Raw genomic sequence first — 24,805 nt, forward strand, 5'->3', positions numbered from 1 at the left:
TTAACAAACACCCTAGTCTGTGGGAGTCAGTAAAGTGAGGAAGTGAGACTTTAAGGATCGGCAAAGTTGGGGGTGGGAGGATGGAAGAGTGTCTTAGGTGTAAGGACCACCATGTTGAGTGAAAAGGCAGAGTGGAGCAAGATGAGGTTGGAACACTGCTAGGTCAGTGCTCAAAGGCCCTTAAGGAAGCCTCTTTCCGTTTACAACATTGGGAAGTCACTTACACATTTTAACATTTTTTTTTTCTTTTTGTGGACAACAGGATCTCCCTATATTGCCCAGGTAGGTCTTGAACTTCTGAGCTAAAGCTATCCTCCTGCCTCTGCCTCCCTAAATACTGGGATTACAGGAATGACCCACTGTGCCTGGCCATTTAAATTTTTTTTTTTTGAAATTTTATTTTTTGAGACAGAGTCTCACTGTGTCACCCAGGCTGGAGTGCAGTGGCATGATCTCGGCTCACTGCAACCTCCGCCTCCCAGGTTTACTTTCACTGAAAAATCTGCATGAGGCCTGGCGTGGTGGCTCACGCCTGTAATCCCAGCACTTTGGGAGGCCCAGGCGGGTGGATCATGAGGTCAGGAGTTCAAGACCAGCCTGGCCAACATGGTGTAACCCGGGAGTTCAAGACCAGCCTAGCTGACATAGTGAAACCCCGTCTCTACGAAAAATACAAAAATTAGCCGGGCGTGGTGGCGGGTGCCTGTAATTCCAATTACTCAGGAGGCTGAGGCAGGAAAATTGCTTGAACCCAGGAGACAAAGGTTGCAGTGAGCTAGGATCATGCAACTGCACTCCAGCCTGGGCAAAAGAGTCTCTCACAAAAAAAAAAAAAAGAAAAAAAGAAAAAAAAATTCTGCATGTAAGTGGACCCTAAAGTTCAAACCCATGTGTTCAAGGGACAACTGTAATTTCATCTTTTAATTATTTGCATTTGGCTACTCAAAAAAGAAATTGAAATAAAATACTTAGGCCAGGCACTGTGGCTTCACACCTGAATCCCAGGTAGCACTTTGGGAGGCTGAGATGATGCAGATCATTTGAGGCCAAGAGTGGGAGACCAGCCTGGCCAACAGCCTGAGAACCCCATCTCAGGTACATTGTCATGGGCCTTTGGTGCCAGCTACTCAGGGGAGTGAGGTGGGAAGATCACTTGGACCAATATACATATACACACATATTTTATTGGACAGTGCTGCTCTAGATGAGCAAAGTACAGGCTGTATCACTCATCATGTATGGTCAGCTCCTAAAATAACTGTAGACACACAGGAAGCTTTTGCGTCCACACTGCCTTAGAAGGTCATGAACATTTTTAATAAGATTGATTTAAAAAGGCAGAGCTTAATTGAAAAATGTTGATGATCACGAAATGAAGGATCCATAGTGTCATTTCCTTAGAAGGCTTAGATTTGTCACTGAAACACGGTGAAAAGCCATTTTGCCATAGAATTTCTGTGCTCTGGGAAAATGAAAGGTTTATTAAAGTACATTAAAAATCTTACAATCTGGCTAGGTGAAGTGGATCACACCTGTAACCCCATCACTTTGGGAGCCCTGAGGTGGGAGGATTGCTTGAGGCCAGGAATTCAAGACCAACCTGGGCAACGTAACAAGACCTTGTCTTTATAAAAAATTAAAAACAAGCTAGGTGTGTTGGTGAGCACCTGTGGTCCCAGGTACTCAAGAGGCTGAGGTGGGAGGACTGCTTGAGCCTGGGGGAGCCTGCTGCAATGCACTGCACTCCAGCCTAGGACAGAAAGCAAAAAAAAAGAAAACACCCCATTACTTCATTTTCATGTATAAAAAAAATACCTAATGAGCAAGTTGGCAAGACTTAATTCCAGCTTTTAAAATAAGGCTGTCAATCTTATTCCTGTAGTCTTCCCTGATTGTAATGTGCTCTCATTCTGTGATGTTTTCCAAAGGATTTTTCAAAGGAAAGCCAAACCTTATTACTTTGCTGTAACTGAAGTAAATTAACTTCAAGTTTTGCAGGCCCCCCCCACCCCTTGGCTCCAGATTTATGTTCAATCTAGTAACAAAACATTTTCTAGGCTGGCTGCAGTGGCTCACGCCTATAATCCCGGCACTTTGGGAGGCTGAGGAGGGTGGATCACCTGAGGTCAGGAGTTCAGGACCAGCCTGGCCAACATGGTAAAACCCCACCTCTACTAAAAATACAAAAATTAGCTGGGTGCGGTGGTACGCCTGTAATCCCAGTTACATGGGAGGTGGAGGTGGGAGAATTGCTTGAACCTGGGGGGCAGAGGCTCTGGCAGTGAGCCGAGATTGTGCCACTGCACCCAGTTTAGGCAACAGAGCAAGATCCTGTCTCAAAAAAACAAACAAAAAAAATTTCTAATATTTTAATATTTTATAGTCTATGCTGGAGAAGACTTCAAAGGGATAATGAGCAAAAAGCATGCAAAGAACTTGTTATAAGGCACTTTATTAAAATAAAAGTGCTTACATCCCTTTAATGCATTAATCTATCTCCTGAATAACACATGTAATATTTGACAAATACTGAATACCAAGTCTGTCCCTTATAATAGGAAAACATACTATTTTAGTAAGTTTTCTCCTTCCACCTTTTACATTTTTGCTCACCACGGTATTGACTGTAGTATAGTTAACTGGCCTTAAAAAGGGTGGTGGGGAGGGGATTTCTAGCTAGTGTTTTCTAACAGCAATTGCCAAATGCTACAGAAACTATAAAACAAATTCAAAGAAACATCCCAGGTAACTTAAATTAACACCAGTTTTGAGAAAACCATTTTTATTATCATTACCACCCAGCTTATCTGTGCTGGATTATGTACCAAATGGCCAGATCTTCTAAAGAACATCTACATAACATTTCTTTCATGTTTCAAGAGATGAAAATAACTGTACAAGGTTAAGTACAAAAGTACACAAGACAGCGGACACGAAAAAATCCATGTATGAGATTTTATCCCCACCTGCAGCTTTTATATATTTGAAAAGTAGAATTCATGAACTAAAAAATATTATCCTTCTATAGTCCTGTCAAGTTTAATGGAAGTGGGTTTAACCTGATTACAACACTAACACCAGTATCACTGATCTGATATTTACAAAAATTTGTATTTTTCAATAAATTAAAGTCAATGCAACACCCATGCAAGCTAGAGTGCTAGCTGTTTGGTGAACAAGGACGTGACATCAGAACAAGAAGTCTATAAGTCCCAAACTTTACAAGTGTGATCATTTTCAAACTGCATCCATTCCTCGCATTGAAGATGTGAAACCCAAACCCATTCCTCTTTGTGTGTGGGTTTGTGATCTTGCCATTTCATACTGAGCATCTAAATTTCGAAATACTTCTTCCTGCTGCTTCAGAGTCTTGTAACTTTCTTCATCAACTGAGCTACATCCAGCTTCATCTTCACTCTAAAAATCAGACATAAAACATTACAATGAATTCAGATGGAGATAAATATTCTCTCACTTGACACTATTTTTTATGTATTTTTTTTTTTTGAGATGGAGTCTTGCTCTGTTGTCCCGTCTGGAGTGCAGTGGTGCCATCTCGGCTCACTGCAACCTCTGCCTCCTGGGTTTAAGTAATTCTTATGCCTCAGCCTCCCAAATAGCTGGGATTAGAGGCACATGCCACCACGCCCAGCTAATTTTTGTATTTTCAGTAGAGACGGGGTTTCACCACATTGGTCAGGCTGGTCTCGAACTCCTGACCTCAGGGATCCCCCCTGCCGCCTGCCCCCCGGCCTCCCGAAGTGTTGGGATTACAGGTGTGAACTAGGCTGACACTATTAAATTATACTTTTGGCCGGGTGCAGTGTGGCTCACGCCTGTAATCCCAGCACTTTGGGAGGCTGAGACGGGTGGATCACCTGAGGTCAGGATTTCGAGACTAGCCTGGCCAACATGGTGAAACCCCGTCTATACTAAAAACAAAAAACAAACAAACAAAAATATACTTTTGGGATATGTATTTGATCTCAATAACTTAATTTCCATTCATTATTGAACACCTCCAAAGGACAAGGCAATGTTCTTTCTAGGTCTGGAATATAGCAGGGTGTAACAAAAGTTAACTTCAGTTTAGTAGGTTGGAAAAAACATAATATGTAGAAGATGTCAGGGTATAAATGCCACAGAGGAAAGTAAAGTAGAAAATGGGGATGGAGGCTGGGCGCAGTGGCTCAGAACTGTGATCCAGGGCTTTGAGAGGCCGAGGTGGAAGGACTGCTTGAGCCTCGAAGTTTAAGGCTGCAGTGAGGTATGACTGCACCACTGTACTCCAGCCCAAGTGACAGAGCAAGCAGAGCAAAACCCCGTCTCTCTCTCTCTCTCCAAGTGTGTGTGTAGGGAGGACAGTGGGTAGGGGAGATGGAAATGTTTCAGAATGGGATTGCTTGTTATTTCACAAAAGGTGGTGGGAAAGAACTCAAAAACGCTGACACCTGAGTAAAGACCAGAACTAAGAAAATGAGGGAAGAACAGTGCAGGAGGGCTAATAGCTAATACAAAGATCCCCTGGCACATGTGAAACTCACCTTAATACCCATCAATTTCCTAAATTTGACATTTTGGTCCTTGTTTCCAAAATTCAATTTTTCCCATATTTCAGCAGATTGGGATTTGTCCTGTTAACAAACACTGAACTTTAAAATATGTAAAATTTAAATATTTTTTAGGACATGAAATCTCTCAACAATGTCTAAATTAAAAAAAAAAACACCATGGATAGCATTCAATCAATGTAAGTTTAATTATTTCAAGACTTAAGAAACCACAAAGCAAAGAAATACAAGCAAGAGGTTGGCGCCGTGCTTCACTCCTATAATCCCAGCACTTTGGAAGGCCGAGGTGGGCAAATCACCTGAGGTCAGGGGATCGAGACTAGCCTGGATGACTAGGTGAAACCCCGTCTCTACTAAAAATACAAAAAACTAGCCTGGCATGGTGGTGGGCACCTGTAGACCCAGGAGGGTCTCAGGAGTCTGAGGCAGGAGAATTGCTTGAACCTGGGAGGCAGAGGTTGCAGTGAGCTGAGATCACACCACTGCATTCCAGCCTGGGTGACAAGAGCAAGACTCTGTCTCAAAAATAATAAAAATAAAATAAAAAAATGGATTATTTTCCTGTCATAGACCTTTTTCAACATGCAATTTTTGCGACTGCATGTCATTTGCATTTAATGTCATTTGTCATTGCAAATAATGTCAAAAAAAAAAAAGTACCTCATAATCTATGAAAAATTCTAAACCAAGTAGCCTCTTTTCCTTACTACTTCTATGGTAATATTAGTTTTCTTTGAAAGCTTGACTTCAATCAATTATGTTTTATTTTAGTATTAATAACTGGCAAATAAGACTATCATAGCTTATTATAAGTTTTTTGAGACAGGGTCTCACCCAGGCTGAAGTGCAGTGGCGTGATTTTTTTTTTTTTTTTCCAGATGGAGTTTCGCTGGAAACTCACTGCAACCTCCGCCTCCCAGGATCAAGTGATTCTCCTGTTTCAGCCTCCCAAGTAGCTGGGATTACAGGTGCCCACCACCATGCCTGGCTAAGTGGCATGATCTTGGCTCACTGTATGTAGGCTCTGCATCCCAGGCTCAAGCGATTCTCCTGCCTCAGCCTCCCAAGCACCTGGGATTACAGGTGTGTGCCACCACACCCAGCTGATTTTTATCTTCTTTTCAGTAGAGACAGGGTTTTGCCATGTTGGCCAGGCTGGTCTTGGACTCCTTACCTCAACTGATCCGCTCACTTGGCATCCCAAAGTGCTGGGATTAAAGGCATAAGCCACCCGCGTCTGGCCACCCCAGGTTCTTACAAAGTTAAGCCGAAAGTAATATTTTTCAACCCAAATTTGTTTTTCTAAGCAATTACTAATTAGGAATAAACGACAGAAAAGCAGAATAAGAGAACTTACCCCTTCTTTCTTGCCCTGCCAAAGCATTTTCCTTTTTTTCTCTTGTTCAGCAAATTTCATTGGATTAACAGCGGCTGGGTTATAGTAGCTAGGAACAGCTATTCCTGTCTCTGCCAAAGCTTTAGCTTGCAGGGCTGCCATCTGAGCTGCCATGGCTATCTGAGGTGTTACTTGTGTTCCTGATGCCAACAGGGCAGCAACATTGAGAACAGAACCTCCAGTAGCTGCAGCTGCTTGAAGAGAATACAAAAATGGATTTTAAAACGATTTTAAAACATAAACCTCCTGATTTACATTAACGAACGATTTATAAAAAGCTATGAATGTGCAAAAAGGCAGGATTTTCACCAAATCCAAGGAAATGACTGAGTATTAGCTCACAAGTTTTTAGCAAACATTTATTGTGTTCATCAACGGACATATTTCTACATAAACCCTTGATATATAAACCATTTATTGCAAGGCGCAGTGGCTCACGCCTGTAATCCCAGCACTTTGGGAGGCTGAGGTGGGCGGATCACCTGAGGTTGGGAGTTCGAGACCAGCCTGACCAACATGGAGAAACCCCGTCTCTACCAAAAATACAAAATTAGCCGGGCGTGGTGGTACATGCCCGTAATCTCAGCTACTCGGGAGGCTGACGCAGGAGAATCACTTGAACCCAAAAGGCGAAGGTTGCAGTGAGTCGAGATCATGCCACTGCACTCCAGCCTGGGCAACAAGAGCGAAACTCCGTATCAAAACAAAAAAAAAACCCATTTATTTACTTTGAGGATAGAGAATTCTGCAAATAGTAAGAAAGTATGATTTCAGTGGAGATGAACTATAGTGTTTCTAAGGTATAATTACAAAACAATAAAACCTTGTATTTTTTTAAATTTATGAAATGTTCTCATGGACATTTCATTTGATGCTCACATCATATACTTGAAAAACAGTATGCAGCTAAGGCTGGGCGCAGTGGCTCACGTCTGTAATCCCAGCACTTTAGGAGGCCAAGACAGGCGGATCACAAGGTCAGGAGTTCGAGACCAGCCTGGCCAACATAGTGAAACCCCGTCTCAAATAAAAACTACAAAAAAATTAGCCAGGCGTGGTGGCAGGCGCCTATAAGCCCAGGTACTCAGGAGGCTGAGGCAGGAGAATCACTTGAACCCGAGAGGTGGAGGTTGTTGTGAGTCAGGATTGTGCCACTGTACTCCAGCACAGGCGACAGTATGAGCCTCCGTCTCAAAAAAAAAAACAAAAACAAAAACAAAAAAAAACCCAAAAACAACAACAGTATGCAGGTATTATGCTAAGTCCAAGTTCAATAAAGCCCTGGTATTTCCACTGTGATTGAGCAGTCCTCTGTAAAAAAAGACACCTCTGATTACCTATTTTTGTCAGTCCAGAATATAACCTTAAAAAGTACTTAAATTACCAACATTATGGGAACCAGAGTTACCAAAGAGAGTAATGATGTAGTAAAAATAAAATGGCTATTTGTAAACTTTTAGAGTTTCAAATAAGTGCCACTGTTTACCAAAAATGTAAAAAACAACAAAAAACCATCTTCCAGATTAAATTTCATACCAAATCAACAGTAAGCTCTTCGTGATAATTTTTTGTTTTTTGTTTTTGTTTTTTTCTTTTTCGTGAGACAGGGTCTCACTCTGTCACCCAGGCTAGAGTGCAATGGCGTGATGTTGGCTCACTGCAACCTCTACCTCCCGAGTTCAAGCCTCCTGAGTAGCTGGGACTATAGGCACACACAACCACGCCTGGCTAATTTTTGTATTTTTAGCAGAGATGGGGTTTTGCCATGTTGGCCAGGCTGGTCTTGAACTACTGACCTCAGGTGACCCACCTGCCTTGGCCTCCCAAAGTGCTGGGATTACAGAAGTGAGTCACTGAGCCAGGCCTGATAATTTTTGAAATCTGCAATGTTTGTTACGCATAAAAACTTGATTTCTTGAAAGAGAAATACATATTTCAGATCAGTTCACTTTCTTGCATAAACTACATTTCCAAAATCGTAAAAGACATCTGGGGCCGGGCGTGGTGGCTCATGCCTGTAATCCCAGCACTTCGGGAGGCCAAGAAGGACGATCACCAGGTCAAGAGATCGACACCATCCTGGTTCAACACGGTGAAACCCCGTCTCTACTAAAAATACAAAAATTAGCTAGATGTGGTGGTGCACACCTGTAGTCCCAGCTACAGGGGAGGCTGAGGCGGAGAATCGCTTAAATCCAAGAGGCAGAGGTTGCAGTAAGCTGAGATCACGCCACTGCACTCCAGCCTGGGCGATGGAGCGAGACTCCGTAACAACAACAACAAGATCTGTCATGATGACTAGTGTTACATAAACAAACATACTCATTACTAATTTATCAACAAAAATTATCCACATGGACCACATCAGAAACAAGCTACAAAACACTTAAGTGAGAACACTAAAATACACGTTTACAGTGTACTGATGGGAAGTAGGAATCATAGGTGATTTTCTTCCTATTATTTTCTATATTTTTCAATTTTTCTACAAAAAGCATGTCAAACTTAGGCTGGGTGCAGTGGCTCATGCCTGCAATCCCAGCACTTTGGGAGGCTGGGGCAGGAGGACTGCTTAAGCCCGAGATCAAGAATAGTCTTGGCAACATAGTGAAAGGTCCTCTCTACAAAAAATAAGAAAAAAATTAGCCATGCATGGTGATGTGGGACCTGCAGTCCCAGCTACTCGGTAGGCTGAGGTGGGAGGATCACTTGAGCCTGGGAGTTTGAGGCTACCATGCGCTATGCTGGAGCCACTGCACTCCAGTCAGAATGACAGAGCAAATCCCTGTGAAAAACAAAAAAGCTTGAAAGAGCTCAAATCGAGATGACTAAAAAAGAATGAAAAAAATTACCTGCAGCTATTTCTTGTTGTTTTTGTTTTTCAACCATTTCCTTTTCTCGCTGTTCTTGTAATTTCTTTGCCCTTTCCAACCTGCAAAATTAATTTCAATGAATTTAAAATAACACAATATAAAACCATTATGTATATATCTCTCTATATGTGCATGTACAGAGACAAGCCAACTTCCATAAAATTTTAAATTTTTAGCATCCCTCCACCGATAGCCGTATGTGAAGAAAAAGCAATCATTCTTAAGATGATATAAGCTACATTTGAAGAATACCACAACAGTGGTTTTAAACATTTTTGAATTGACTAGTCAGAAATGGGCATAGTTTTTATATGCAGTTCCAATTAACAAGTGAAAAAAATTACGTCTTGCAAGTAACATATTGAAAGCTGAGTAAATTTTAGAGCATGGTTAAGTAGTAAATAAATTTATAGAATTATCTAAATGTTTCTTGAGGGAGAAAAAGCCAGCCGATCAAGACATTCGGATAATTTTTTATATTGTACAGACCTTAGTAAAGTCTTCAATTTAATAAAAATCAAAAAGCCAAAACTAAAAGGTCAAGCAAACCTTGCCATTCTCTGTAATCTAATAAAATGGGAGGAAAACTTTTCTCAATTAGGAAATTACTTCTAGCAGTTGAACAAATTTATCATTTACAAAGGAACTAGTAACATGAAACACAAATTCATCCCAAAACAAAAATGAATTTTTTTTTGAGACAGTCTCACTCTGTTGCCCAGGCTGGAGTGCAATGGCACGACCTTGGCTCACTGCAACCTCCGCCTCCTGGGTTCAAGCGATTCTCCTGCCTCAGCCTCCTGTGTAGCCGGGATTACAGGTACACACCACCATGCCCAGCTAATGTTTGTATTTTTAGTAGAGATGGGGTTTCACCAATGTTGGTCAGCCTGGTCTCAAACTCCTGACCTTCTGATCCGCCCGCCTTGGCCTCCCGAAGTGCTGGCATTACAGGCGTGAGCCACCATGCCCAGCCCAAAAATGAATGCTTGTTCTCTCTACTCACTCTGTTGAATGAGTAGTGTGCATACATTAAATTCACTAATGAGTATGCACACTAAACAAGCTATATGTTAAGTTTACCCTTTCTATATAGCAAATAACAAGTAACATTATCTTCACAATGAATTCCTGAAAGAGGAACTCTTTTCTTCCTAAGGATTCCCTGATTTATCAATCAAGCCAAATGCCACTAACGCCCTCTGTAATGTGGTATAAAGGGGACAGGACTGACAAAACTTGTTTTTGTTTTGGGGCACTATGGGTAATACAATGCAGGGGTAGTAAATTGGATTTGCTTTAAGAATTGTTAAGTCGGCCCGGCGCCACGCCTCTCGCCTGTAATTCCAACACTATGGGAGGCTGAGGTGGGTGGATCACCTGAGGTCAGGAGTTAGAGTCCAGCTTGGTTATTAACATGGTGAAATCCCGCATCTACTAAAAATACAAAAAATTAGCAGGGCGTGGTGGTGGGCGCCTGTAATCTCAGCTACTTGGGGTGCTGAGGCAGGAGAATCGCTTGAACCCAGGAGGCAGGGGTTGCAGTAAGCTGAGATCACACCACTGCACTCCAGCCTAGGCAACAAGACTTCATCTCAAAAAAAAAAAAAGAGGAAAAGGAAAAAAAAAAATTGTTGAAATTTACATAAAAGAAATATAACAAGCTATAATTTTATTCCCTTTTATGAAGCACATATGCATGGAAGGCATAACATAGACTTGACTTTGTCCTTGAGAATAAAAGTTTGTAAATTAGCAGTAACAATAAAATGTAGGTCGCAGGCTTGGCAAGGTGGCTCATGCCTGTAATCCTAGCACTTTGGGAGGCCAAGGTGGGAAGACTGCTTGAGGCCAGCAGTTCGAGACCAGCTTGGCCAACATGGCAAAACCCGTCTCTATTAAAAAGAAAACAAAAATTAGCTGGGTGTGGTGATGCGCATCAGTAATCCCAGCTTCTTGGGAGGCTGAGGCACGAGAATTGCCTGAACCCAGAAGGCAGAGGTTGCAGTGAGCCAAGATCATGCTCCTGCACTCCAGCCTGGGCAACAGAGCAAGACTCCGTCTCAAAAATAAATAAATAAATAAATAAATAAATAAATAAATAAATAAATAAATAAAATAAAATAAAAATAAAAAATAAAAAAAGTAGGTCACAGATCTGAAATGTATTTCCTAAACAGTTTTAAATCCTGACCTTTAAGCCAAAAAAGAAACCAATATAAAAGGTCTATACATGGTAGTTTCTTAAGAAAAAAATTCTCCAGATTTCAAGGTAGTAAATAATCTCATATTCTGAAATTAAAGAACTACATTTAAAACTTTATCTGAAAGATCACCAAGTAATCTATATATCAATGACATTTTGGATGCTATTAACGGCTTCACTTTTAAAAAAATCCAAAAACACAAACAGAATAGACTTATGGCATTCAAGTAAATAAGAGCTTAAAAAATATTTGTCAGAGTTAATGAAATTACAATCTAGCATATACTAAATCCAATTTTATAGTAAATTATTTCCATACTAGTTTCAGAAAGAAGATACGTGTGACTACAACTGGTTGCATTAAAATGGCCATTGAAGATTTGGAATTAATACCATTCACTAAGGTGAATGGAAAGAAGGGGTGAGCTCACACTTTTGCTGCTGTTCAGCTGCAGTTTCTGTCAGGCTGGGTTCCCAGGGAAGCACATCAGGTTACACTGTGTTACCAGCCTGGGCAACATAGGGAGACCCCGTCTTCTCTACAAAAAATACAAAAATTAGCCAGGCATGCCTGTGGTCCCAACTACTTGAGAGGCTGAGGTGGGAGGATTGCTTGGGCCCAGGAATTCAAGTATGCAGTGAGCCGTCATCATGTGCCACTGCACTCCAGCCTGGGTGGGACCCTGTCTCAAAAAACAAAACACCTTAATTTTGTAACGAGAGAAAAAAAAATCAAAACCTAAAAAGTCTATTTTTCAAAATATGGGAAATACTGCAAACAAGTGCTTGGATTTTATTTTACTTTTTGCCTCTCTATGAGGCAGTTCTTTGAATAGTTTTGCAGATTTCAATATATAGTCGTGCTGTGTGTGGTTTCACCATTACTCATCTTTGAAACAGCAGAAAATTTATTTTTGTGTGTGTGTGTGTGTGTGTTTTTTTTTTTTGAGACTGAGTCTCGCTCTATCGCCCAGGCTGGAGTGCAGTGGTGCGATCTTGGCTTACTGCAACCTCTGCCTCATGGGTTCAAGCGATTCTCGTGCCTCAGCCTCCAGAGTAGCTGGGATTACAGGCGCCTGCCACCACGCCCAGCTAATTTTTGTATTTTTAGTAGAGATGGGGTTTCACCATGTTGGCCAGGCTGGTCTCCCAACTCCTGACCTCAAGTGATCCGCCCGCCTCGGCCTCCCAAAATGCCGGGATTACAGGTGTGACCGATTGCACCCGGCCGAAACAGCAGAAAATTAAAAAAAAAAAAAAAAAGTTCTCCCATAGTTACCAGGAATAAAACTTACAAGATCAAATAAATTAGCTTATAATGTATTATCTGTTAATTGCCATCTTCAAAATAATAATATTGACAAAATTTTACTTACTGTTTCAGGTATTTTGTCTATTTGAGGGAGAAAAACAAAAAGTAAAGGAAAAGTCATCTTAGATGAGAAAATAATAGTTCTTGAACCAGATTTAAGACTCAAAAAAAAAAAGTTTCAAATGCAAACTGAAAATATTTGGGAGTCTAAATTTGAGAAAAATGAAATCAGTTAAATCATGAAGGAAAAAACAGAAATTGTAGACATCTCAATCTTATAGTTGTGCAAATGTTTAGGATGAGAATTAAACTATTTACATAGTTCTAGATCACAAATATGCCACCATATTACTAAAGTATGTGAATCATTCTCTTACTGAAAGAATTCATCTTATCCACACAATTGAGCATTTATTTAAAGGCGAACTGGAACAAATGAATTAAGAAATATACACACCTTCTAGCTAAAGCTTCCTGTGCATCCATTGCTGTGTTTCTGCCTCTGAAGGGAGGTGGACTTGGAGTCCGGCTTAAACTTCTGCTAAATCTTCTCGGCTTTTCAATTCTCTTCTTTCTATCTCTGTAGTAAATCGTATTTCATATGTCAAATTATGGCCAAGTCATAACTATTTTGTTAATAAGAAATCAATTAGTTCAAACAAAAATCCCAACGATACAAAAACATTTAGTTTGAGATGCAAAAGATTTAAAACATCAGTGTTACAGCTGAACTCATTGGAAATAACATTTGTTTCCAACTCCCTCATCCCTTTTTAAGAGACAGGGTCTCACCATGTTGCCCAGGCTGGCCTCCAGTGATCCTCCTGCCTTAGCCTCCAGAGTACACAGGTCTACAAGCATGCCCCACCGCATCTGGCTGTTTCCAATCTTTTGCATAGTATATCCAATGTTGGAAAAGCTAGCCTTATACATTAGTCATTTTGTGCTCTTGTAGGTCAATATGTATACCACAGGAATCATTCCTACATATTTTCATCTACAGTGAATTTGTAGATGTTTTTCAAAAATAAAAAGTTATTAACCACTAAAAATTAGGTCTGGCTGGGTGCTGTGGCTCATGCCTGTAATCCCAGAACTTTGGGAAGCTCAGGCGGACAGATGACCTGAGGTCAGGAGTTCGAGACCTGCCTGGCCAACATGGTGAAACCCCGTCTCTACAAAAACACAAAATTTAGCCGTGCGTGATGCTGGGTGCCTGTAATCCCAGCTACTCGGGAGGCTGAGGCAGGAAAATCGCTTGAACCCAGGAGGCAGAGGTTGCAGTGAGCCAAGATTGTGCCATCGCACTCCAGCCTGGGCGACAGAGTGAGACTCTGTCTCAAAACAAACAAAAAAACTAGATGTCAGTGACCAAAAAAGCACTTAAAAAAAAATTTCTTAATTGGTAAGGTTCAAAGTAGTAAACTACTATAAACTAGAACCACTGAGTAAAAATTCATATTGATTTAAAGATCAAGTGATAAATCATAAAAACCAAGTTACTGTATTAAGTACAGGTCCCTTTTTAAATGTATGTTTCAATCTTTCATACACTGACCTAAGTTGCAATCAATTTACAAAAGTCAGTATACTACTGTCATATGTAAACAAGCAGAGAATAACGCATTCATTGAAGAATATTTATAATTAGTTTTCCTCCTGTGCTCTTTATTGTACACCTCCTATCTCAACAAAGCCTCCTCCCACCAATCAAGATAAATCTAAATTGTGTTCATTTACAAACAAAATCTGAGGTAGTTTGTACAATACAGTGGGTTAAGCACATGCATGGAATTTGCATTTAGATATATCTGAAACCTGCTCCTGGCTCTAGCACTTAATAATGATACTGTTTTGGAATTCTGGGGCAAATTTCTTAAACGTCTTTAAGCACGACACACTTACCTTTCAACATGGTTCTTCTGAGAACTAGATGAGCTAATAACATGCAAGGAGTTCTAGCATACAGCATATGGTAAGTATGCAAAAGGAGATTTTAGTTATTTGTGATAATAAAATTAATACAACAAATCCAGTGTTGAACACAACTGAATTTGTTTGTTACGACAGGATTCACTCCTGTCACCCAGACTGGAGTGCAACAGCATGATCTTGGCTCACTGCAACCTCTGCCTTCTGGGCTCAAGTGATTATCCCACCTCAGCCTCCCAAGTAGCTGGGATCATAGGTGTGGGTCATCACCCCAGGCTAATTTTCATATCTTTTGTAGACATGGGGTTTCACCATATTGCCCAGGCTGGTCTTGAACTCCTGGGCTCAAAAAATCTGCTCGCCTCGTTGTGATTACAGGTGTAAACCACGACACCTAGCCAACAACTGCATTTTAATAGGCCTATTCATACCTGCACTTCGCAAGAGATTTATCAATCACGAGAATACCTGTGAATGCTATTCAAGTGGTTAGGTGTGTTCTTCATACGTTAGGTAATGACTAAAATAATTTTACCATAATCTATAAATAGAATTGTGACTCACAATTTTAATACTCTCTTACTGAGGAAGATAAACAGACTCTCTGAGGGTCCTATTAAATTTTATTCAGGATGATGGTCACCTACCGACTCCTACTCCTTGTCCTACTCCTGCTTCTAGTCCTATGCCTGTGTCTTGATCTTGAGCGGGAACGAGACCTGATCCGCCGTTTTCTTTCCCTGCTTCTGGATCTCGATTTCTTCCTCTCTCTGCTTCTGGATCTCGATTTCTTCCGCTCCCTACTCCTGGATCGAGACTTCTTCCGCTCCCTGCTTCTACTACGATGGCGTCTGAAATTAAAGTGCACAAATTTGTAATTACTTAAAAGTTGTGTTGTTTCATTTATACACATCATGAATTAGTTACTTGTAGTAACGCAATAAAGACAAGCAAGTAACTGCACTATATTATTTACAGAAATAAGCGAGATTTTCAAAGGAAATACTAACTGAAAACGAACCCTTCATTTTGTTTGATAATTTGTCCTAGAACATAGTAAACCTATTAACATGTCAAAAGCGTTCAATGCATCCTACCCAAATTTAAGCTTCCGTTTAATACTCTTCCCACAGTAGTTACAAATCTTAATACTTTAGTTTATCTACTAAAAATTTTTGAGTCTGATACCACACACAACCCACAGAATTCTCCAAAAAAAACCCCACCAAAAACCATTCACAAATTTGAGCTGTGATCCAGTTTCTCAAAAATCTTTTTATCTATACTCCAACATTAAAAAAAATCTAGATTGCAGTTTAGCAGCAAACACCAACATCACCATCGATGATGCAAAAGGACTGTTTATCAGCTTAAACCACACAGTTTAACAATATGATTTTTTCAGTGCCAGACAGATTAAGTGGTTAAAAATCTCAGCTGGGCAGAGTGACTCACTCCTGAAATCCCAGCACTTCAGGAGGCCAAGGCCGTCACACTGCTTGAGCCCAGGGATTCGTGAATAGCCTGCACAACATGGCCAAAACCCGTCTCTACAAAAAAATACTAAGAGATTAGCTGGGTGTGGTGGCGCATGTCTGTGGTCTCAGCTGCTTGGGAGGCTTGAGGTCAGATCACTTGAGCCCTGGAGGACAAGAGGCTGCAGTGTGCTGAGAGCACACCACTGCACTCTAGTTAGGGCAACAGAGAGACCATCTCAAAAAAGAAAATCTAGGCTGGGCACGGTGGCTCACACCTGTAATCCCAGCACTTTGGGAGGCCGAGGTAGGTGGATCACCTGAGGTCAGGAGTTCGAGACCAGCCTGGCCAACATGGCGAAACCTCATCTCTACTAAAAATACAAAAACTAGCCAGGCATGGTAGCACATGCCTGTAATCCCAGCTACTTGGGAGGCTGAGAAAGGAGAATCACTTGAACCCAGGAGGCAGAGGTTGCAGTGAGCCGAGATCATGCCACTGCACTCCAGCCTGGGCAACACAGCAAGACTCCGTGTCAAAAAAAAAAAAGGGAAAAGAAATCTAGGCACTTGAGATTTAGTCATCCCTTACACCCCATTCTTGGAAACCATTTTTGCATGATGAGAAAGCAAAGCCCAAAGGCAAAAAACAAACAAAACCACAAACCCAAACAAACGAACAAGAAAAACTCCCTAATTATGATTTTTTTGGGTGTTGCTGGGTCAATGAGAAACTTTATGTAACTTGTTAGAAGGTACTACATTATAATACAACATGACTTACCTTTCACGAGACCTAGATCTTGAGTGACTTCTGCCTCTTGATGACTTTCTTTCTTTGCGTTTGTGCCTGTCCTCACCATTTTCAGATGAATTTAGTCGCTCTCTTCCTTTATCAGAAGAATGTTCTTTGTCATTATGTTCCTCAGACTTATGTTTCTTAGAGGATTTATCTTTGGATTCATGTCTTCTTCCCTGTTTTAAGAAGAAGTTGGTTCTTTCAGGAAAATAGTGCAACAAAGAGAGTTAGTATGGGTATCAGTAGACAAAAATGTTGTGATGCAACATTAGTAACCTTAGGAGTGTGTGGCAAATAAAAAAAAGATCTAGTTTCACATCACCCAAATGTTGCAGATGTAATTACTATTTTTTTTACTATAAACACCCAAAATGTAGTTCCTCCCCAAAATATTTTCAATACAACAGAAACAATGATTTTTAAAGTTGAAATATTGAAAAGCCATTATGCCAGACAAAAGAGGAATCCCTTATGTTTATCTAAAAGAATACAGACCATGTATATACATCAACTTCTAAATCCAGATTACATAATGTTAAGTTTAAGTAAGTAATGGAGATAATGACACAAAAAGTGCACCAGAAACGCATTTCAATTAGGTAGCTAAATATAATTATTACTAAGTACTAATATTTTCTATAATTTCAAATTATTTTACACAGAGATGCAGTGTCCCTTTTACAGTTATACTGCCTGCTACATCCTCTAAAAGACAGCTCTTGATTTTCCTCCCAATGTCTAAACTGTGAAGCAATCACTTTTCATCTTGCAGTATCCCAATAGGCTTAGAGGAGTATTACACTTCATGTACCTAGGGTAGAAATGGCAACTGTATGTTTCAATTTTAAAGAAACCAAACTAGGTATAACAATCCACATGCCATCACACAATACATACTGCCCCCACACTTTAAAAAGACCAAGGCCTTCACATGTGCATTCAGAGACTCAGCTCAAATTAACTGCATGATCAAGTCTCATCCTACCAAATACCAAAGTAGAAGTGCTACATACTACAGTTCCCTACAGGAAGATCTGTCAAATTCATCTTGTAGTGAAAGTTTAAAATCCTAGACATCTCTGAATCACTAAATTTTAATTCTGGAAGGAAACTAAGATCCTCTAACTTAATCCCCTTATTTTATGTATAACTAAGATCTAAAGTTACAAAGCTACATGGGTGAGCTGAACCTTCCCCATGTTTTTCTGATGCCCACGCTACCACTTTTCCACTGTAATAAGACACTACTGTCTCCCAAAAGGCCATAGCATGTTTCTTTCCACTCACGATTAATGTTTCTTAAAAATAAAACTTGGCCAATCATTTTGGAACATGCATGATGATTTATCTGAAAATGATCATAGTACATAATTTATTATTTGCAGAAAAATAAGAGACCTGGAGACACAATTAAATTTTAGTTTCATTGCCAGTTCTCTATAGGAGCTTAGAAAAGAAATTTTCCTTGGTTTTGCTATAACGAGGCAGACTGGAAAAGTCTTAAGTGGTTAAACTTCTAAAGGTTTTAAAGTTTATTTCAAACCAGTTTTTCAAACATAACATTACTATTAATTTAAAAAAAACATTAAAACCCTTAACTGATTTAAGATATATTTAAGGGAAATAGGAGTTTGAATGACTAATAGTTACCTTATCATGAAGTAGGCTTATTATTTTGCTATCTGAGTCTGCAGCGTCTTCAGTTCAGTCTCTTCGCGCATAAGCACGCTGAGTATGATTTATTATAGAAATGTTATCATGTGAGCTAAACAAAATAGTCATTTTCACAAAAACTCTCCTAAATTAAAAATTTAACAGAGCTTCCATTACGGGAAGAGGTGAAGTCCCTGCCCACTCTTGTTTTAGGAGTCCCTTACCCAGCCCCCACAAGACTCTTCTCCCTTTCTGGCTACTACTTCTACACTTCCTTATTGGCTCATTCTTTGTCTTCTCAGGTGGGTGAACAAGTAACTCCTTTGCAATACAGCTGCTGCCTTTCTTTTTCCTCAAGTTTTGGTGTCACCGCCACCTTTTCAGCTGTCCCTCACTCAAACCTTTATTTCAAAATTCAATACTACTATTAGGGAAACTGAACTAGTTTGCAAAAGAAAAGAGAACTCCTGTTATCGTTCATAAGGAAAAAGCAGCGCACAGATATCTAGGGTATTGCTATGTAAAGATGATTGCTGTTTAAAAATCCTGAGCAACTGTCAGGCACCAGGAGACTCGGGACCTCAGATTAATGGAAGCTCTGTGTGACAGGCCTAAAAAAACCAATCATATTCTTCATATGAAATTTTTATTGTGAATATTTTCACAATATAATAAAATTAAAGTTTTGAAGGTACTTTTCACATAAACATCTTCTTCAAAAATGATGAATCAAAATCATGCTTATTTTATAACCCAATAAACCTTTTAAATTTCAAGTTTTGTACTTACCTTGACAACGTCTTATATTCATACAAATCTTTCTACCAGACACTTTATAAGTATTTTAAAGTACCTATTCACTACAAAGTGTTAATTACCTCTTTGCTTCTGCTCCGGCTCCTGTGTTTTCTTCCTTCATTATCTGTGAATACACAAAAAAAATAATCACCATAAACAAAGTTGGAGAAACATTTCATCTTAAAAAACTCTTAATGCTGGAGAAAAATGACTCCCATTAGTCTTCTTCCAATGACTAATTTTTTCATGGCACGGGTGGGATTATTCTACATTAATACAACACACATGTGAAACAAATCAAGCAATCTGAGCAAACCAGGACATAAAGCAGCCTAGATACATCTTTTAAACGGTCATAGACTTTCAGTATTTTACATATATTCTGACCAGCCCATCTAGTTTCCTAGTCTACAGCAAATTCATAAGGGGGTTTAATAGAGAGAGGTAAGCCATTAAGAAAAATAAAAACTAAAGAAAATAAACAGGTTGAATTATATTTGATATGTTCCAACATGGTGAAACCCAGTCTCTACTAAAAATACAAAAATAAGCTAGGCGTGGTGGCGCACGCCTATAATCCCAGCTACTCAGGAGGCTGAGGCAGAAGAACTGCCTGAACCCAGCAGATGGAGGTTGCATTGGGCTGAGAGTGTGTCAATTTTTGTATTTTTGGTCCTGGCTCAGGTGATCTGCCTGCCTTGGCCTCCCAAAGTGCTGGCATTACAGGCTTGAGCCACCATGCCCAGCCAACAAACTAAATGTATGTGTCTTCTTATACAACAGGTCTACATATCTTATACAAATGCTGAGAGTTGTAACCACCTTTAAGAATTCATACCTGACTTTCGTTTTCTTTCTCTTGACCTTGATCGTGATCTTGAATAATGATGTTTTGAAGCTCTAGGAGAAACAGATACTTCTGACTGCTCTTTTTTCTTATCTCTATCTGGTGATGTCTTTTCTGGGGCTAGTCCATCTCGCTCTGTATCACTAGCCTAAAAGTTTAAAAACAAATGATTAAAGTTCTTAATTACATTTTAAATGTTTTCAATTTCTTAAAAGAGGGACAAAGGGAGGGAAGATAGCCCCCCACAATCAATAAATCAGAATGCCTGCTTTCCAAGTAACTAAATGTGCTTTGTACACTAATAAGGCTGAATGGCTTGAAATGACGAACCTGATACTAAAGCAAGACCTACATATTTAGACTGATGTATCTTTAATTTTCTAACGATGATTTGTATAACTTTTAAAACATGGGGTGGGGTGGGGGAGGAATAAGGGCTCCAAGTAGTTCTAATAAGCATTCAAGCAGAGAAAATAGTCCTTTTTAGATGTGTGAATGCATTTAGCTGACTTTACCAATACTTTTAAATTAGCATACATGTCAAACATCAAAAATGAGTTGTTAAAGCTTAAAGATACTCAAGACGATAAAATCTTAAAACAATGCCCTAAGAATATTATAAAATAATAAACAGAAAATTAACTTACCTAAGTGAGAACCTCATCTTAATGTCATTAACCCTCTTTAATGAAAACAGCCCCTTGGCACAGTGCTGCTGCAAAATATGGTCTGCCTCTCCTCACATGTGCTCTGGGCTATGAAAACATTAAGTTGTTTCTGCTTTAAAGCATTTTATAAGTAATTATTACAATATAAATTTTACAAGTTTCAACTAATGCAGAAGGTAGACAATGCTCGGCTATCTGACCAGAGAAGATAACATGAAAATAAAATAATTGATACACCTGGGGAATTGATTACTTAGGAAGGGTTGGCAAGCTATGGTCCTCATTCTGTTTCTGTATGGCCTTGAGCTAGGAATGGTTTTTTACGTTTTTTAAAACTATTTTAGGCATATTTAATAAATAACTTCAGTAAATAGCACTGTAAAGACTGAACTGTTAAAACTAAAGGCACTTAAAACGCCAGTGTTGTGGCTCATGCCTGTAATCCTAGCACTTTGGGAGGTTGAGGCAGGCGGATAACCTGAGGTCAGGAGTTTGAGACCAGCCTAGCCAACATGGTAAAACCCTGCTTCTACTAAAAACACAAAAATTAGCCAAGAGTGGTGGGGCGTGCCTGTAATCCCAGCAACTCAGGAGGTTGAGACAGGAGAATGGCTTGAACCCATGAGGCAGACGTTGAAGTGAGCTAAGATTGCGCCACTGCCCCTCCAGCCTGGGAAAGAATGTGACAGAGACTGCACATGGCCCACAAAGCCAAAAATATTTACCGTCTGGCCCTTTACAGAAACAGTTTATGGACTTTTCACGTATAACATCAAACGGAATCTGGATTGAATAAATAGGGAATCGATAGTCTTCAGCAGGAGGAATCACATTAGAGAACTTCCTCCTTTAGGAAAGTTAGTCCAGAAAATGAATACCAAATATCAAGTACAATAAATGGGGGTATTGTATTTTAACAAATTTTAAACAAGTATCAAGTACAATAAATGGGTGTATTGTACTTTAATAAATGAAGTTGTGAGAGGTCGAGTTACTTCAACAAGTATTTACTAAGGGTCAAAAATGTGCCAAAACCAATGCTAGACTTAGGGAATAAAATGATAAATTAAAAACAGAAAGGTTTTGCAGTTCAATTATGAGATGAAAGACATAAATTACGTGTTATTCCTCTAACAATGGCACAAAAAGAACAGTAAGAAATTAACTACCAGGGAGGCTCTCATGCCAGCATATTGTATATGTACTTATTTCTCCAGTCTGGGTGACTTCTGGAACCATAAAATTTTTATGCTGAAAGGTTTTCACCCCTTAGAATAGAGTTCAACTTTCTCGTTTCACAGATGAGATCCAGCAACATTAGCTGACTTGCTTAAAATGATACTGCATCTCCGTATCTTTACTGTTTACTACTAATAAATAATGCTGTATCATTAAGGATGATTCTGATTTTTCACAATGAATTCTGGACACTTTTTTTTTTCATCGTTATCCTTGAGGACTATTTCAGACTCATTTATTACTTGCTGAGTGTTTGTACAGCTTACACTTGGTAAACAGAAGTGATCTCGAAAATTTTAAGCACCGCTATTACTTCTCTCAGTTGCACGACACTTTTGCCAGAGACAGAATTCCTTAACTAGTGGCAAATCCCATTTACTTTTGCAGAGAACAAGACTAGAATCGAAAACAACCTTCTCATGGAAAATCTAGTGCTTAGCCTAGGCAGTTTTCAGGCAATGGTTTATCTAACTTTAACTTCATGCTTAACATCACAAAGCTGGACAACAGAGAAACCTCCCTGTGACATAGGCTAACTTAAACTTACATCATCAACCATTTTCATCTGTAAAATATACTACAGAGCAACAACAAAAACCATCTTAACACTAAACAAATAGGAATGATAGGTGGTCATTGAGGCCATGGAAAACTTTTATTTCCCTGAGGATATTTTATAGTAGCATAATACAGGTATCCAGGAAAAAAACCTACCAAAAACTGAGTATTAAAATTGCTCTGAAATTTTCTAAGCTTTAATTTAGTACTAATCTATGTGTACACATAAACGTTAACTGCAAAACAGCCTTCTATTCCAGCAGTGGCTCTACGAGGTAGCCACTTTGGTTTCTTATAATTTACATTTTGTTGCAAACTCTAATAACGGCTCGAAACATAGACAAATCTTTTTCCACTGCGAAGGAGGTAAGCACTGGATTGAATACTAGGTCACTTCTCTAGGGGACTGTCTTTTTATTGAACAAGGCACGGCATAAATAAATGTTTAAATTCACTTTTTAAAATACTAGAACCCGGCCGGGCGCGGTGGCTCACTCCTGTAATCCCAGCACTTTGGGAGGCCGAGGCGGGTGGATCATCTGAGGTCAGGAGTTCGAGACCAGCCTGGCCGACGTGGTGAAACCCCGTCTCTACCAAAAATATAAAAAAATTAGCCGGGTGTGGTGGTGGGCGCCTGTAATCCCAGCTACTCGGGAGTCTGAGGCAGGAGAATCGCTTGAACCCGGGAGGCGGAGGTTGCAGTGAGCCAAGATCGCGCCATCGCACTCCAGCCTGGGCGACAAGAGCAAAACTCCGTCTCGAAAAAATACAAAAAAACCTGCAACCCAAGAAAAATAGTATTACTCTTTAAGTATACTGAGGCCCAAAACACTAAACAAAGGAAGACAGTAAAAGAAACGGGTTTAAACTCAATCACCTAAATAATAGAGGGGTATGGGGGAAAAAGAAAATCATCTGCCTAATCCCAGGCATTCCAATCGTTAGGAAGAGCAAACTTTAAAACTATCACTATGTTTAAGAGTCATAATTATTATCGAAAATGATGTAATTTTTTAGTCAGTAAAAAGGAATGCAAAATCTTTACATTTTCCTTTTAACGGAATAAAAATGAGGTAAGCACAAAATAATGTGGATCCGTCAGAATTGGGTATCTTATACACACGCAGGCTTATTGTTCAGAATAGATAATTTACGAACTGTAGCTCCTCTGGGGTCAACGAAGAGTTTTTTTTTTTTTTTTTTTTTTTTTTTTTTTTTTTTTTGAGACGGAGTCTCGCTCTGTCACCCAGGCTGGAGTGCAGTGGCGGGATCTCGGTTCACTGCAAGCTCCGCCTCCCGGGTTCACGCCATTCTCCTGCCTCAGCCTCCCAAGTAGCTGGGACTACAGGCGTCCGCCACTACGCCCGGCTAATTTTTTTGTATTTTTAGTAGAGACAGGGTTTCACCGTTTTAGCCGGGATGGTCTCGATCTCCTGACCTCGTGATCCGCCCGCCTCGGCCTCCCAAAGTGCTGGGATTACAGGCGTGAGCCACCGCGCCCGGCCAACGAAGGGTTTAAATTTAAAGGAACAAGGTCAGTGACAAGACTTAACTGTAACGCTTCTCGGACTTCAAATTGATTACATCACGGGCCACTTCGGAAACCGCGCATCAGTCAGAATTGGTAGTTCCACAACCTTTTAAGTTGAATTTTCACTCCCTTTCAGCAATACCTTCCTAGCTCGTTAATACACAATAATAAGGTTTACACGGACGAACACTAATTGAAATTATGCAACTAGAAGCATCTCATTGAGCGTACAAAAAAAAAAATAGCTACAAGTCGCTCTCTTCTCCCACACTACCCTTTACAGACACTGCCTTTTTGACCCAATACTTTTCAGAGACCACTCCTGATCGTCTTTCTCTTCCCCAGCCCCTTTCTCCACCGCAAATTCTCAGGCCCTAAAAAAAACTTAGAATAAATCACTAGCCAGGGTGAATAAGCGAAAATGGAGGAAGTTCAGTGAGGCGAAAGGAACGTAGGGTTGGGGAAGAGAGGAGGAAAGTTCTGGAAAAAAAAAGGCACTCCCTGCGGCTCCCCACCCCCACCAACACCGCCTTACTTCCCCCTCCCTACAGCAGGCAGCCATGATGGCGGGCGCAGAAGAAGGCCGCGGCGCCATTTTGTCTACACACATACACACGAACAAGGTTCTGGGAGCCGTTCACCCACTGTTGGAACGTAGCAGAAAAATATCCCTGGCTTTAAACTCAGATTCGGTACCTACCGCCATAGTTCAGAGTCCCGGCCGCTAGAGCGGCGCCTCCACTTGTCGCTTTCAACAGTACCGGCCGCTCCGAAGCTTCGCCTCAGACTAAATCGCTCGCGCGAGAGACCCGGATGGCACAAAGGCGAGGAGGCCCGGCGCGTCGCACAGCTTGCTGGGAGAAAAAGGGGCGGTAACAAAAGTTTCTATAACAACGCAATTCGAGGCGGTGATTGGGTGTTCTTTCATAGGGGAGTGTAAAGACCGT

At 40.2% G+C, this 24,805-nt stretch overlaps 1 protein-coding gene across 15 annotated transcripts, besides 3 other annotated features; it reads right to left on the minus strand.

Annotated features, from left to right (window-relative positions):
* RSRC2 (arginine and serine rich coiled-coil 2) lies at positions 1,165–24,647 on the minus strand. Of its 15 annotated transcripts, none has more exons than NR_036434.2 (11): positions 24,559–24,647; positions 19,854–20,010; positions 19,096–19,139; positions 18,215–18,292; positions 16,550–16,740; positions 14,938–15,141; positions 12,816–12,938; positions 8,820–8,899; positions 5,929–6,161; positions 4,545–4,634; positions 1,165–3,417 (listed from the first exon to the last, which is right to left on the minus strand). NR_036434.2 is itself a non-coding variant. In NM_023012.6 (10 exons), exons 1-10 carry the CDS (start codon positions 24,562–24,564, stop codon positions 3,238–3,240), a joined length of 1,305 nt encoding a protein of 434 aa, NP_075388.2. In that variant the 5' UTR covers positions 24,565–24,647; the 3' UTR covers positions 1,165–3,237. The 15 variants fall into 15 exon arrangements, 10 of the variants coding, with proteins under 10 accessions (NP_075388.2, XP_005253658.1, XP_016875319.1 ...); NR_036435.2 differs by having other exon boundaries at positions 5,929–6,158; positions 16,550–16,762; NR_036436.2 differs by lacking the exon at positions 18,215–18,292 and having other exon boundaries at positions 5,929–6,158; positions 16,550–16,762.
* Positions 1,780–1,980: a silencer, noted in NCBI's record as "peak2019 fragment used in MPRA reporter construct". NCBI's record gives its function as "represses an SCP1 promoter by STARR-seq MPRAs in K562 erythroleukemia cells {active_cell/tissue: K562}" and the evidence as "EXISTENCE:reporter gene assay evidence [ECO:0000049][PMID:32103011]".
* Positions 11,935–12,124: a silencer, noted in NCBI's record as "silent region_5017". NCBI's record gives its function as "represses an Ori minimal core promoter by ATAC-STARR-seq in GM12878 lymphoblastoid cells {active_cell/tissue: GM12878}" and the evidence as "EXISTENCE:reporter gene assay evidence [ECO:0000049][PMID:35858748]".
* Positions 24,327–24,786: an enhancer, noted in NCBI's record as "active region_7230". NCBI's record gives its function as "activates an Ori minimal core promoter by ATAC-STARR-seq in GM12878 lymphoblastoid cells {active_cell/tissue: GM12878}" and the evidence as "EXISTENCE:reporter gene assay evidence [ECO:0000049][PMID:35858748]".

The sequence above is a fragment of the Homo sapiens genome, chromosome 12 (genome assembly GCF_000001405.40).
Source record: "Homo sapiens chromosome 12, GRCh38.p14 Primary Assembly".
In the NCBI taxonomy this organism is placed as follows: domain Eukaryota; kingdom Metazoa; phylum Chordata; class Mammalia; order Primates; family Hominidae; genus Homo; species Homo sapiens.